This window comes from Homo sapiens, chromosome 3 (assembly GCF_000001405.40).
Source record: "Homo sapiens chromosome 3, GRCh38.p14 Primary Assembly".
NCBI classification, from domain to species: Eukaryota; Metazoa; Chordata; class Mammalia; order Primates; family Hominidae; genus Homo; species Homo sapiens.
In genome coordinates, this window is record NC_000003.12 from 134,687,495 (window position 1) to 134,703,010 (window position 15,516).

Genomic DNA, 15,516 nt, shown 5'->3' on the forward strand with positions numbered 1-15,516 from the left:
GTTAAGAACAAATCCTCACCCCCAGGGTGCCTGCTGGTGCATCCCTGGTAGGCAATGCTCAGATGAGACCTTGGATGTGTTAGCTCCAGCAGAGATCAGGATGGAGGGCTGTGGGAAGTGTGTTACTCAAATGCAAGTGGCTGTGACAGAACCCCACTCTGCTTAACTTAAATTTTTAGAAAATGGTTTTACTGGCAGGATGTAGGGTAATCTACAGACTCCACAGAGAGTAGAATAATCAGGCCTCAAAAAAGTTAGGAATCCAGGTGGCCCCACACCTGTGGCAGGATGGAGGCAGCCTCCTCAGGGCACTGCCCCCAGGATGGGTCAGCCACAGCTGTGGACTGTCCTTGTGTTGCTTGGCTCAGGATTCAAATTCACAACCCACAAATAGCTCAAATGAAACAGGAAGACAATATCAAGTGTTGAAAAGGCTGTGGAGCAAATGGATTCCTCACGCATCACTGACGGGGAAGTAAAATAGTACAGCTATTTTGGAAAAACATTTTGTAGTTTCTGAAAAATTAAACATTAATTTACCATATGATATAGAAATCCCACTTCTGTGTATCTATCCAAGAGAAATGAAAACCTAAACTTACATAAAATCTTGTATGAGAATGTTCATAGCAGTATTATTCATGATCGCCACAAGGTGAAAGCAATCCAAATGCCCGTCACCTGGTGAATGTAGAAACAAAATGTGGTATATCCATACAATAGATTACTATTTTGCAACAAAGAGGAATGAAGTATGGATCAACATACTATAATATGGATGGAATTTTAAGACATTATGTATATTGTACGATTCCATCTACATGAAATGCCCAGAAAAGACAAATCTGTAGAGACAGAAAGTAGATTAGTGGTTGCCTTGAGCATAGGCAGTACCTGCAAATGGACACAAAGCTACTTTTTGGGGTGAGAGAAATATTCTAAGATTAGATTGTGGTGACGGTTGTACAGTGCCATAAATTTACTAAAAATCATTGAATTGCCTGTTTAAAACAAGTGAACTTTATGGTACATAAACTGTAGCTCAATGAAGCTATTTTTTAAAAGCTTTGAATTTGCAGTGGCGAGTCAGAGTAGACTCGTGTGTTGTCCCTGCTGTGGTGCCTTATTTGACAGGTGCACCAAGTTGATCACAGGGAACTGAGATAATCTGGGTGCTGTTCCATCAGGAGCAAAAGTGGGAAGAAGGGTTTCTGCACAAGACAGGAACCTCAGAGACTCCTCCACCCACTTCCCCACCAAGCACCAGGATGGCAAGGCAAATGGCTGAGACCATCATTTTGGCTTCCACAAATGTCAGGGTCCCTGGCCACTGGATGCTCTCCTCTGCAGCTGAAGTCTCAGCCTTCATGGAAACCTCCCCAGCATCTGGATCCTCATGACAAAGGTCTTCTTCCACCAAGGGTTAGCTCCTGGGGCTGGGGTTAGCTTCTGGCTTGGAGACCCTGGTGATCTCTTCTAATGATGAGCATTGAGCCATTGATTTCATATAGGTGTGGTTTTGTTCACCAAAACAATAAAAGGTGTTTAGTGATGGTTGGGCACAACACAGTTATCTCCAGCTTGTGTATGAAATGATTCCTCTGTAGTCCCCAGCTCTTGAATCTCCTGTTGGCCTCATTTTCTCTCTCTCTCCCTCTCTCTCTCTCATTTTCATAAAGCATCTAACACAGTGCTTTCTCTTCGGCTTATGATGACTTCTTGTGGCCTCTTTTCTGTGCCATAGCCAAAATGATGAGGAAGCCTAAACTAGGAGAAAAGAAAAAAAAACTATGAGACAGAAAAAAATGTACGTAGCTGAATACAGATGTCAGCAGGTAGCAAGATGAGAATTGAAGGACTTCCAGAAGGCAATTGAGTCACATCAATGGTGGAGTCCAAAAACAGAGCTTCACAAACTATGGTTTGTAAATAATGTAAAGGACCTTATTTATTATTATTATTATTATTATTATTTGAGACAGGGTCTTGTTCTGTCACCCAGGCTGGAGTACAGTGGCATGAGCTCGGCTCACTGCAACCTCTGCCTCCTGAGTTCAAGCAATTCTCTCACCTCAGCCTCCCAAATAGCTGGGACTACAGGAGCCTGCCACCACGCTCAAGTAATTTTTGTCATTTTTTGGTAGAGACAGGGTTTTGCAATGTTGGTTAGGCTGGTCTTGAACTCCTGACATCAAGTGATCCACCCACCTCAGCCTCCCAAAGTGCTAGGATTACAAGCATGAGCCACTGTGCCAAGCCCCATATTATTTTTTAATGAACCTGTACTAATGATTTTATTTAATGCATTAATGGAGAAACCAGTAAGATGTTACAACTAAGTCAATGGAGAATCCAAAATCATGTGTAATTATAGATCAGGAACACTGAAAGAGTGGGCAAGTGGGGGCAAAGCTGGCCCCTTCCATAGCGAGGAAGGGAAGTCAATTGCCTGACAGAATTTTTGCATATCTACAGGCAGAAATTATTTTTCATTGCTATTAGTTATTTACAATTTATAAACTGCAGAATAGCTCAATAAAAGGTTAGAATCAGGTAATAAGGAAAGATGTACTCTAGACAATGCATAGTTTTCTCGTGAAGCACAAATCTTTCTATGTAATACTTTGTTCCCCCCTTTGCTTGGATAATTAGTATTTATCCTTTATATTAATCTTAAACTTGAAAAGGCCATATTTAAAAAATTTATAATGCACCATGGAATACTTTTATAAAACATAGTAAAAATAAATTGCTGGGAAGATAAAATGATAGAAGATATACAAAATACAAGCCTAACTTTTCTTATTATTAGTTTCAACAGACATAAAGTTACTCTGTCAAGTTGTTATGGAAGTTTCTAAAAGCTTCCTGTATTTCCGTACTTCCTTCAACAGTAACTTGTGGTGAAGAGTTTGCAGCCTGGTCCTGGTCCACAAACCACTTTCTAAGCTGCACTGCAATAGAGTGTTTATTCACACACATTGTTGCTGAGGCTCATAGGATGCTGCCTCTGATGCCAGTTTCCACAAGGTCCAGCCTTCCTCTTGTTTCCATTCTTTAACTGACTGGAGATTTATCTTGTAACTCTCCACTCTATATCCTTCCAAGTTTAGTCTGGGACAATAGATCTCAAACTCTTTGGTCTCAGCATCCCTTTAAACTCTTAAAAATTAGTGAGAATGCCAAAGAACTTTTTAAAAATGTAGGTTACAGCTATCAACTTAATCATATTAGAAAGGAAGACCAAGATTTTTTTTTTTTTTTTTTTTTTTGAGATAGAGTCTCGCTCTGTCACCCAGGCTGGAGTGCAACAGTGCAATCTTGGCTCACTGCAACCTCCACCTCCTGGGTTCAAGCGATTCTCCTGCCTCAGCCTCCCAAGTAGCTGGGATTACAGGCTCCCGCCACCATGCCCAGCTAATTTTTGTATTTTTGGTAGAGACGGGGTTTTGCCATGTTGGTCAGGCTGGTCTCAAACTCCTGACCTCAGGTAATCTGCCCGCCTTGGCCTCCCAAAGTGCTGGAATTACAGATGTGAGCCACCGTGCCTGGCCAAGATATTTTTTAAATTATTTCTTGGCTAAGCATGGTGACTCATGCCTGTAATTCCAGCACTTTGGGAAGCTGAGGTGGGCAGATGGCTTGAGCCTAGGCGTTTGAGACCAGCCTGGGTAACACGACAAAACCCTGTCTCTACAAAAAATACCAAAAATTTTAGCTGGGTGTCGTGCTGTATGCCTGTAGTCCCAGCTACTCAGGAGGCTGAGCTGGGAGGATCTTTTGAACCCAAGAGGCAGAGGTTGCAGTGAGCTGAGATCGTGCCATTGCACTCTAGCCTGGGTGACAGAGAGAGATCCTGTCTGTAATCCCAGCACTTTAGGAAGCTGAGGTGGGCAGGTAGCTTGAGCCTAGGAGTTCGAGACCAGCCTGGGTAACATGACAAGACCCTGTCTCTACAAAAATAGCAAAAAAATTTAGCTGGGTGTGGTGGTGTGTGCCTGTAGTCACAGCTGCTCAGGAGACTGAGCTGGGAGGATCTTTTGAACCCAGGAGGCAGAGGTTGCAGTGAGCTGAGATCACACCACTGCTCTTCAGCCTGGGTGACAGAGAGAGATCTTGTCTCAAAAAAAAAATATTTCTCAGTTCATTAAAAACAGGCATAACAAATCATTACATGCTAATATATTTCATGAAAACAAATCTATTTTCCCAAACAAAAGTAAATAGTAAAGAGAATGGCATTCTTTTTTTATTTTTCTCTGTTGCCCAGGCTGTAGTGCAGTGGTATGATCTCGGCTCACTGCAACCTCTGCCTCCCGGGTTCAAGCGATTCTCCTGCCTCAGCCTCCTGAGTACCTGGAATTACAGTCATGTGCCACCACATCCAGCTAATTTTTAGTAGAGATGAGGTTTCACCATGTTGGTCATGCTGCTCTTAAACTCCTGACCTTGTGATCTGCTCGTCTTGATCTCCCAAAGTGCTGGGATTACAGGCGTGAGCCACCATGCCCAGCCGGCATTCTTTTACATGTACTGAATATCCCTTTGGTGTTTGGTGCCTTGATTTCCTTTTTCTAACAGAATAGAAGGCAGCTAGATTTTTTTTTTAATTAATTAATTAATTTTTTATTATACTTAAAGTTCTAGGGTACATGTGCACAACGTGCAGGTTTGTTACATATGTATACATGTGCCATGTTGGTGTACTGCACCCATTAACTCGTCATTTACATTAGGTATATCTCCTAATGCTATCCCTTCCCCCTCCCCCAACCCCATGACAGGCCCTGGTGTGTGATGTTCCCCTTCCTGTGTCGAAGTGTTCTCATTGTTCAATTCCCACCTATGAGTGGGAACATGCGGTGTTTGTTTTTTTTTTGTCCTTGCAATAGTTTGCTAAGAATGATGGTTTCCAGCTTCATTCATGTCCCTACAAAGGATATGAACTCATCCTTTTTTATGGCTGCATAGTATTCCATGGTGTATAGGGAAGGCAGCTAGATTCTTATATCTGCTTTTGTATCCAATCTTTGCAATATCATGCCATATAACTTCTGCAAAACTCCTTTGTTTACTCACGAGAGAAAAGAGAGTAAAATAGGCAAATAATACCTTAGTTTATTAGAAAAGTAGTCTAACATCACAGGTCCCCTGAAAGTCTCTTGTCCAGGGGTCCTTGAACAACAACTTGAGAAGCACCAGTTCAAGATATCTAGTCTCAAAAGACCCCCTTCACACAGACGTGTGCACATTCAGGGTGGCCAGCTGTCCCTGTTTGCCTGGGACTGCCCTGGTTCCAACACTGACAGTCCTATGTCCTTAGCACACTATGGCTGTTGGTCACCGTTGGTCACCCTAACACTCTTCTGGGTACATACTTTATTTGGGTTAGCCTGGCATTCCCGCTCTGCTTCTTTCCCTTCTCTTCCACCTCTTTCTTCCTTCTCTTTCTCGCTTGAATCCATTTTCCATACCCTTCAATAACTGGTTGAAGCCAGAGCTGTTATACAGGTGCCTGGTGGAGACTTCCAGTTGCCCACCCCATATCTTTTCTCCCCCTTTTCTTAATTAACAGAGACCCTATTCTGTTGGGACAGTGTTCAGGAAAAGAAAGGTGTTTCCAAGCGTCCCTTGTAGATGGGATGGTCATATAACACAGTTCTGGACAATAAGATATTCAAGAAAGCTGTTGGGTGGGGCTCCTAGGGAAGCTCATTTAGAATAGAATGCATTCATAGCACACACAGTTTGCCCTTTTCGCTTTTACACTGTCCTGCCTAGAACTCACCTATGATGGATGGAGTTCCAGAGTCATCTTGCAGACATGAGGACAAGAGCCATACCTGGAGATAGGACAGCAAAGCTGAGGGCCAGAAACTGACTGGTTCCCTAATGGTTTTGTGGAGCTGCCAAAAAAGTTTTGGGTTATTTCCAGATTTCTTCTGTAAGCAAAAAAAAGAAAAGTAAAAAAGCCCATTGTGTTTAAGTCACTGCCTTTCAGATTTCTGTTGCCAAACACAATTCGTAATCAATGCAAGACGTTTTTTGTTTTCTTCATTGGATAGAAAGATTCTTTATATAAAATGGAGGGAAACAGAAAAATATGCGCTCATTTATGGCAGATGTTTAGCTGCAATTGAGGCTCAGATGTTCCCAGAAGACGGGATCCTCTGTAGAGAAACTTCTTGTTTGGGCTGGCTTCGGAGGCTACTGATTTCAGCCCATGGTCACCAAACTCTTGGAAGCCTCATGGCTAAAGAACGTAGAGAACCTGAGTGCAAGGGCTTGCAGGGGCAGGGCTGTCCTTTGGCTGCTCTCCACAGGAGTTTTTTGCCTCACGTGCATGGACCGATTACCGGGGGCCTGGTATTGAGTTCAGGGTCCATGTCTTCCTGGCGGTGCGTGAGAAGCAGCCCCTATGTGTTACCACTCACTCTTCACGTTCTGGGCTCAGGGATCTGAGTGGAAGGCAATGGCATCCTGCAGGAATGTTGGCAGCCATCCCACGGGCATGTGGGCAATGCTCCTGGCCAAGGCCCTGATGCTAACCTTCTCCACCAGTTCACTGTCCTCTGGCCCCATTTCAGAAAGGAAAGCCTCCAGCCTCCAGGCCCCTGAGCATAGCTGTCATTCAATGTGAAGGGCAGGGGGCTCTCAATGGCCCCTTGAGGTTACTGGAGGTAAGGTGGACTCCATGCTAATGACAACCCTGCAGACAGGCAGGTGTAGGCACCCCCATGCTCAATGCTGCAGCTGCACGCCTGCTCTCCTGGTCCAGAATAGGCCTGTGAGCACTGTGGAGCCAGGCACCCTCCCTCCTAGCCCTCTGTCCAGGCTCCTCATCTGGCTGCAGAAGATGCCTAATTTCAGTTGACATCCTGCTCAGCAAAGTCACTGTTGTTCCCCAAACCCTTCCCCAAGTTAAGTAAAAGAGCAGCCTGGAGTCCCTGAGCGGAGCTGATCTACCCTGCTCATCTTCACTCTTCTTCATTCCAGCATCAACAAGGATGTTTGTCTGTGCCTGTTTGTCTGGAATGTTTGTCTGTGCCTGGGCCTGTGCTGGGTGTGAGGGACATAACAAGTGTGTCACTGTCCTCCAGGGCTCCAGCCTAGGACAAGGAACAGGCTCACAAGCCAGATGCCAGGGGCTGCTGCTTCACTGCATTCTTTCTCACAGAGCCCTTTTCAAGGATTCAGTATTGAGTGTGGTCTCATTTTGCTCTTCTTTTCAGCATTCAGCTCCCCCTTCATTTCTTTCACTGAGGCTCCACAGGGTTCTGACACCCTGCAACCTAGACAATAAACAAGTTTTTCTTTCTCAGCATGTCAGGCAAATTAGCACTTCACAAGGTTTGGTTGCCACAGATAGAGAACCAAGCGTTTGCTGTGTGGGTGTGTGCACATGTGTGGGCACGTGTGTTTGTATTTGTGTGTGTGCATGTAAGGGTTTCCAGCACATTGTGGTGTGGAAGATGGCTGGACAAGACCAGGGTCTTGAGGGAAAGTGATGTAAATAGCAATTGTGAAGCAGGTTCTTGCAAAGATGAGTTAGTCAAGCTCCTGACCAGATAGCACAGGGATCTGAAATACCAAAAAGTTCCAGGTCAGCCGGCCGGGACCTGCCTGAGCTGTGCGGGGTAGGAGGTGGGAGGGACTGGGCTCTCTGTGCTGCGGGTGTCATTGCAAAGTCAAGAGCCACTAATGGAAATAACCACTGGGGCATGATTTTTCATGTCCTGATTCCAATCACAGACCTGTCATCCAAGAAGAATATTGAAGGGGAAATCCCATTTCCTTTGAAACCAAATGTTCCCCACAGAAGCCAAAGGCTTGTAGAAACAACTCTGATTGGAAAGACTTGAGCATACATTGCCTGGCTTCTCGAGTAAGAGGTGGCAACACTCATCATTTATTGAGAGATGAGTTTACAGAGAGATGGGGCCTGCCCATACATGGTGATGACCTTTCTTGCTTCCTTGCATCAGAGACCCGACTCACAGGAGGACACTGTGGCCCATCTGGTCTCTGTGAGCAGACGGAGATGGATCCTGGCAGGTGACGGCTATGCCACATGTGCTGGCTGTGGTGGTGAAGCTGGGCAGAGGCACAGCAGTAAGGTCTTATAGACTCCCGGAAGGAAAGAAGGGGCTCTGGACCGTACCCAGAGAAAGGCGTAATGGCTGGTGCACATGCCTCTCTACTTCTGTAACTCACCTGCGCCTAGGAAACTGATTAGAGGGCAGTGGGCATGATGGCCCGAGCACTGGAGGTAGGGCCAAGCAACCGAGGTCTCCTTCCTGGTCTGCCTGTGTGGCTTGTGAACACAGATGGCTGATAGCTATGGTTCAAAGTGCTTATGTGTACTAACTCAGTGAATCCTCACTACAATCTGGGGACATAGTCCCAGTGGTATCTCCATTTTACACTGGTGAAAACTGAGGCTCAGACAGGTTAAGTAGAACAACTTGCCTAAGGACACATAGCTAGTGAGTGCCCCCGGGCTTTTCACCACCCTGGTGTACTTCTCCCTTGCCCATCAGACATTGCTTTCCACCTTGTCTGCCTAATAAGACAAACACCTGGTTAGGCTCTTTTAGAGACACAGAGGAGCGTGTCATGTGGCTGAAGTTAGTCTACCTTGCCACCCTTAATATATGAAAATGGCCTGGCAATGTCTGGTTCCAAGGGGAATATGTGAAAGGCAGACATGTCGCTGTGGGCAGTGTTTTACTCACTCTCTAAGCGTGACTTGCCCTTGAATTGCCGCCTTCATCTTCTTTTGCTTGTGCATTCTCTGCCTGGGACAAGCTCTGTACTATGGCAAAAATCATCACTCACATGGTGTCACCAGCAGGGAGTGCTGGGTTAAGGGCAGCTCCTGCAAAATGTCTCAGGGCTGTTGGTTGACAGTGAGTGTAACAGGAGCCAACAGTGCCTGTTGTACTTCTGGACAAGACCAAGCCTTGTGCTGCTCAGACTACATGCGGCATCCTGAGTCTGATTCTGGGTATCATGTTTTTAAACAATAACTTTTCTTTGTGTGAATTAGAAGTAGTATATGATCACTGTGGAATATTGAAGAAATGCAGACAAAATGAGAAAGAATGATTGCCCATAGTACCATCAACTAAGCATTGGTGGTATTATGGTGGGAACTGTTCACCTTTAAGGGTGTTTCCATGCCCACGTGTGTGTGTGTATATGTGTAAGTGTGTGCAAGAGGGTATGCGTGTGTATAATATTGAGTATTCAAACATGTATATTGCTTTTTTCCTTACTTGTCAAAAAGATAGTGTTTTATGATTATACAATATTCCATCATGATATGGATGTGACATACTTTATGTGTCCACTTTCCCATTATTGCATAATAAATGCTAATAATTCAGGAGGGAATTGTAAGAGCAAAACTTGGCTCTTCCAGATATTTATGTGATCATTTCCTTAGGATACATTTCAGGAAGTCAGATCATGGAAGTAAAACTATGAACGTTGTTAAGTTACTTGACATACATTGCTAAAGCACCAGCCCTTCTTCAAGGAGCTTTGACACAATAGAACCTGTCCAGGGGTGAGTGATTGGTCTGGTCAAGATACCAACTCCCTTGAGGAATTATTGAGAGTGGGAAAAGGGAGGTGGTGTGAACACAGCAGCTATCTTCAAATGTTTGAAGGGCTCTCCTGTGAGACAGGGAATGGATTTCTTAAGAATGCCACATACAGTAAAACTAGCATCAAGGACAGATGTGTAGAGGGAGTAGCATCTCAGCCTAACATAAAGAAGAACTTTTTTTTTGAAGAGATAAGCTTAGTGTTGGGTGGAGGCTTTGTCATAACACTGTGGGATAAAACTTGACAGGGTGTTTTCGATGGCAAGACATACACACACTGCCCTCTCAAGCAGGGGCAGACCCTCTGGCATTTAGTTTTGGGCACGTGGCTTTCTGAAAACATGCATGTAGATGGGCTGTGTACAGGTCCTACAACAGAATCCCACTTTAGAAAGAGGTATGGGGAGATGGAAGTGTTTGGAGGACTACACCTTCCATGGCATTCCTATGAGACACAGTCTTCAAAGGTGCTGGAGTGTTCCCAGCACTCATGCTCTTTGCTCGGCCCTCTTCCCTCATGATTGTACCCACACCTGCACACACACTGCTCACAGGCCTAAGCTAATGGGCCTCAGCTTATGGGCGGCAGATTTGCTTCTTTCAGTAATGCCTGCTGATTCCCACGTTCGTGTCAACTGTGTTGAGCTTTTGAGGCCTGTTCTTATCATTAGCACTTAGCTTTTTCTTCTCATTTCCCAGTCATTTTTGTAAAATGACAAGAGTAACCGACAGTAAACTATTCAACCACTTGGGAAAATCAAGGAGTATGAAACTGATGGGCTGGGAGTGGAGCTCCAGCTGGCTGGCAGGCGGGGCCTGGAGCAGAATGTGGGTTGTCCTCTGATGCACACATGTCCCTCCGTTAGGACACGAGTGTCAGATGCACAGCATGAACATACAGGTTGTCCAGACATGGAAGACTGCGTGCACAGTCTTGCCATTCTGCTCAGGGTGTCTGATGGGATGGTGGAGACATGGGCAGATACCCCGCCAACCTGACACCCCACGGCACAGCATGGATGGCACACTTTCCAACTGCTTCACCTTCAGCAGCTCTTATCAGTATTTGTTTTCAAACCAGCAAGTTGTGTATCCGTGCAGAGATTCCCAAAGCAGCTAGGCTGCAGTGGAGATCAGCTCTAGGGCTTGGTAGGATAGCCAAATATAGGTACCTGGACAGCTGACTCTGGAAAGTTCTACAGAGCTGGCAAAGGGGCATGCCAAGCAGCACTTCAGTAGAGCCAGAGACCAATAAATGGGATCTTTCATCAGATAGGCTAGATTCTCTGGCTTCTGAGTGAAGGGGGGCGGGATGTGAGCAAAAGCAAAGGCTGCCAGTGAGGGCATGGAGGGGCTGCCGTCTCCATCCTCCACCTCCAGGGCCAATTTCCATAGAGATGGGATTGGGAGGCCAGGAATGACCTGCCAAGAATGCAGTCTCTTGCTGGAAGTTTGCAGCTGCTGCCTGTCAGGCAGAGATTATTGAGAGGTGGCTCCAAACTGCTGCTAAAGCCTCACGCTCTGGAGAATAGGGTGCTGAGCTAACTCCAGGGTGGAGTGGGGAGCAGGTACATGACCTCAGGCTGCCCTCGCCCACACCTTGTCTCCAGGTAGTCTGATACTGCTCTCTCCTTTCTCAGGCTACCTCCATCAATGTCTCCCATGAAAAGACTTTCTATGTCTTTGTATTTTAACACAGGGTGAGCACTTCATTCATCCATCGTTTCACACACCACTGGGATGTATACAGTATTCCAGGCACTGTATGAGGTTCTGAGCTGGATGGGCACATCACCAGCTAGCTCTTCTTCAGCACGTCCTGAATAGATCTTTTTCCAAAGTGGATGGTTCTTTGCTCCAATGAGGCTGTACTTCATTGGAGAGGAAATACTGAGGCCTCTCACTACTTGGAGAGGGCTGAGTGGGCTTGCTTGGGGCTCTAGCCAGTGGGCTGGGGCCAAATTCAGACTCAGGTAGATGAGGTATTTTATCTGAAGGGGGCCCAGAGCAGGAAATGTCTCAGGAGAGTGTGGACTGCCCTGGATAAACATATCTGTCCTAATCACCTCTGTATCCCCTGTGCCTAGCACCATTTTAACACATTATGTGCTTAAACAGTTGTTAAATGAATGACTAAAGTCCAGTCCTTAGAAAGCAGCAGGGTCAAACCCGGAGTCACCAAGCTGGATGGATCGGTCCTGGGATGAGAGGAGCTGCAAACTGTAGGGCACGCTGTGGCCTGGAAGTTGGGAGGGGACAGGATTGACAGAAAGGTGCCACCATAGGTGGAAAAGAGAGTGCGCTATCCAAGCCCCAGGTGAACACACAAGCGGCTAGCCTTGGGCAAGACAGAAGCAGGAAGCATTTTGCTCCTCCTCACAGTACAATTTCTGTCAGGAGAGGCAGGGCTGAAGCATACAGGACAGACTGTCTCTTGGCAAACACTTTGTTCTTGGCTTCTGAAACACCAGCTTTTCCTGGCCTCCCTACACTCTGATGGCTGCTCCTTGTCTGTCTGCCTTGTCGTCCTCACGGTTCTATGTGGGAATGTCTCTGACCTGGTCCCTCCTGTACACATCACAATCACTCTCTCGGCTATCCAATCTCAGCTCATAATTTCAAGCTTTCAAGGATGGATTTCTATCTCCAACCTTGACTGTCATCCTGGGCTGCAGACTTGTCATGCTTGACAACTTCATGTGGATCATTAACAGATGTCTTAATCATGACTTGTCCAGAAGAACACTTTTTCCTTCTTTGTCCTCCCTGGTGAACCCCATGCTTTGCCACTAATTGTTCCCAGCCCTGATGCTCAGTAAATAGCTCCAGAACTGACTGAGTCAAGGCTGGGCTCGTGGTGAGGCCATGAGATGCCAAGGGCACATGTCAAGAGGCTCTCACTTTCAGGGGTCCGCTCTGAACTTGCATGATGCCAAGAGTGAGCGCCTCCTTACATGTTGTGCCCTTGGTGGCTGGCTTGTGCCACCCTAGTGCTCACTCTGCCTGTACTGAGTTCCTCCAACCCAATGCCTAGAAACTATATTTTGATTCTTCTGATTTTTTTCACTGCCAATATTCAGTCCTTCAGGAAGTTCTGCTGACTCTGTCTTCCAAACATTGCGAACATATCCTGTCCTCTCCACTTCCATTCCTGCCGCGCTGGCCCTGGCGCTCAACAGCTCTCCCCTGAACCACTTAATGGGTTCCCAGTGCTACCCATGTCCTCCTCCAATCTATTCTTCACACAGCAGCCAGAAATTCAATTTTTATTTTTATAAAAGTAATACATGGGCATAGTTTAAAAAGACAAATAGTCCTATAAGGCTTATAATGAAAAACAGCAGGTTCCTATCCCACCCCTCCTCAGTCACAATTCACACTTCCCAGAGGTGAACGCTTTCAATAATTTTGGCAGTTTCTACCACCCTTATACTGTTAGCATTTGATTTTTAGGTTTTTAGTTATTTTTTTTTTACTGAATTCCAACCACGGAATAAGAAGATTTATCTTCCTTATCATCCTCCTCCATCACACAGACATTTCCCAGTAACATCTTTCCAATACAGTCATATCACAGATTAGATCAAACCCCTAGTCCAGGTGCAGTTGCTTGTTTGTGTGGGATGGGGAGGGAGATGAAGGTCTCACTGTCTCTTAGGTTGATCTTCACCCCACTCCCCTGTTTTCAGCCCCACTTGCCCCCTGCCTTCAGAGCCTTCCATTCTTACAGTTACAGGTTTGCAGCAGAAACCAGCTCCTTCTTGGCTCCCCTCCCATCAGAGGTGTGTTGCTCTCCCTTGGCTGGTCTGCCAGTTTGCTTGTCCTTGTCTGCCTGCTTTCCATAGTACATTTCGCTCATGCATCTTGTTTGCTGTCATCTTCCTCCATTGTTTTTCTCCCTATGAGTTAGTTCTGCTTTTATATGTTTTTTTGTGTGTGTCATTTTGTTGGGGTTTGAAGAGGACACATGTGTTCAATCCACCATGAGCAACTGGAAGCCCAGGTAGAGCATTTGTGCTTGGCATACAGTGCCCCAACATATACATACATACATTATATACATACATACATACATTATATATATATACACACACATATATACGTATATATGTGTGTATATATACGTATATATACACACATATATACATATACACATATATACATATACACACATATATACGTATATATGTGTATATATACGTATATATGTGTATATATACATATACACACACATATACGTATATATGTGTATATATACATATACACACACATATATACGTATATATGTGTATATATACATATACACACATATATATACGTATATATGTGTATATATACATATATATGTGTATATATACATACACACACACACATATATATATACATACACATTATATATATTTAAAAAACTTCTTTCTTTCTTGAATGATTGAGTAAAATACTATGGACATCAAGGGTATTCAAGAGTGACAAGAATAATAAGAGCCATATATAACAAACCCATGGCCAGTATCATACTGAATGGGCAAAAGCTGGAAGCATTCCCCTTGAAAAATGGCACAAGACAAGGATGCCCTTTCTCACCACTCCTATTCAACATAGTATTGGAAGTCCTGGCCAGGGCAATCAGGCAAGAGAAAGAAATAAGGGGTGTTCAAATAGCAAGAGAGGAAATCAAACTATCTTTGTTTGCAGATGACATAATCCTATATCTAGAAAACCCCATCATCTCAGCCCAAAAGCTTCTTAAGCTGATAAGCAACTTCATTCAGCAAAGTTTCAGGATAAGAGACAGTGAGACCCTACATCCCTCCCCATCCCACAAAAACAAGCTACTGAATCTGGGCTAGGGCTTTGATCTAATCTTTGATATGACTGTATTGGAAAGATGTTATTGGGAAATGTCTCTGTGATGGAGGGACAAATCAATGTGCAAAAATTGCTAGCATTCCTAGACACCAACAACAGGCAAGCCAAAAGCCAAATCACGAATGAACTTCCATTCACAATTGCCACAAAAAGAAAAAAATGCTTAGGAACACAGTTAACAGGGGAAGTGAAGGACCTCTTCTGGGAGAACTACAAACCACTGCTCAAAAAAATCAGAGATGACACAAAAAAATGGAAAAACATTCCATGCTCATTGATGGGAAGAATCAATATCAGGAAAATAGCCATACTGCTCAAAGCAAGGTATAGATTAAATGCTATACCCATTAAACTACCACTAACATTCTTCACAGAATTATAAGAAAAACTATTTTGAAATTTATGTGGAACCAAAAAAAAAAAAACAGCCCGAATAGCCAAGGTAATCCTAAGCAAAAAGAACAAAGCTGGAGGCATCACGCTACCTGACTTCAAACTATACTACAGGGCTACAGTAATCAAAACAACATGGTACTGGTACAAGAGCAGACACATAGACTAATGGAACAGATTAGAGAACCCAGAAATCAGACCACACACCTACAACCATCTGACCTACAACCATCTTGTAAATTTGTTTAAGAAAAAAATTTACAAGAAAAAAACATTAAAAAGTGGGCAAAGGACATGAACAGACACTTCTCAAAGGAAGACATACATGCAGCCAACAAACATTAAATAAAGCTCAACATCACTGCTCATTAGAGAAATGCAAGTCAAAACCACAAAAAGACACCGTCTCACACCAGTCAGAATGGCCATTATCAAAAAGTCAAAAAACAATAGATGAAGGCGAGGTTGTGGGGAAAAAGGAATGCTTTTACACTGTTGGTGAGAGTGTAAATTAGTTCAACCATTGTGGACAACAGTGTGGCAATTCCTCAAAGACCTAGAGGCAGAAATATCATTTGACCCAGCAATCTCATTAATGGGTATATACCCAAAGGAATATAAAACAGTCTATTAAAAAGATACA

General features: G+C 44.4%; 1 protein-coding gene across 1 annotated transcript in view, besides 1 other annotated feature; it reads left to right on the forward strand.

The window, feature by feature from the left end:
- The window catches only part of CEP63 (centrosomal protein 63), a 296,836-nt gene that overhangs the window by 201,771 nt on the left and 79,549 nt on the right, over nucleotides 1-15,516 (forward strand). The gene's annotated exons all lie outside the window — the stretch shown is intronic.
- Nucleotides 6,144-6,822: an enhancer, noted in NCBI's record as "H3K4me1 hESC enhancer chr3:134412480-134413158 (GRCh37/hg19 assembly coordinates)". NCBI's record gives its function as "activates a minimal SCP1, AML or CMV promoter by ChIP-STARR-seq in primed H9 embryonic stem cells {active_cell/tissue: H9 hESC(primed)}" and the evidence as "EXISTENCE:reporter gene assay evidence [ECO:0000049][PMID:30033119]".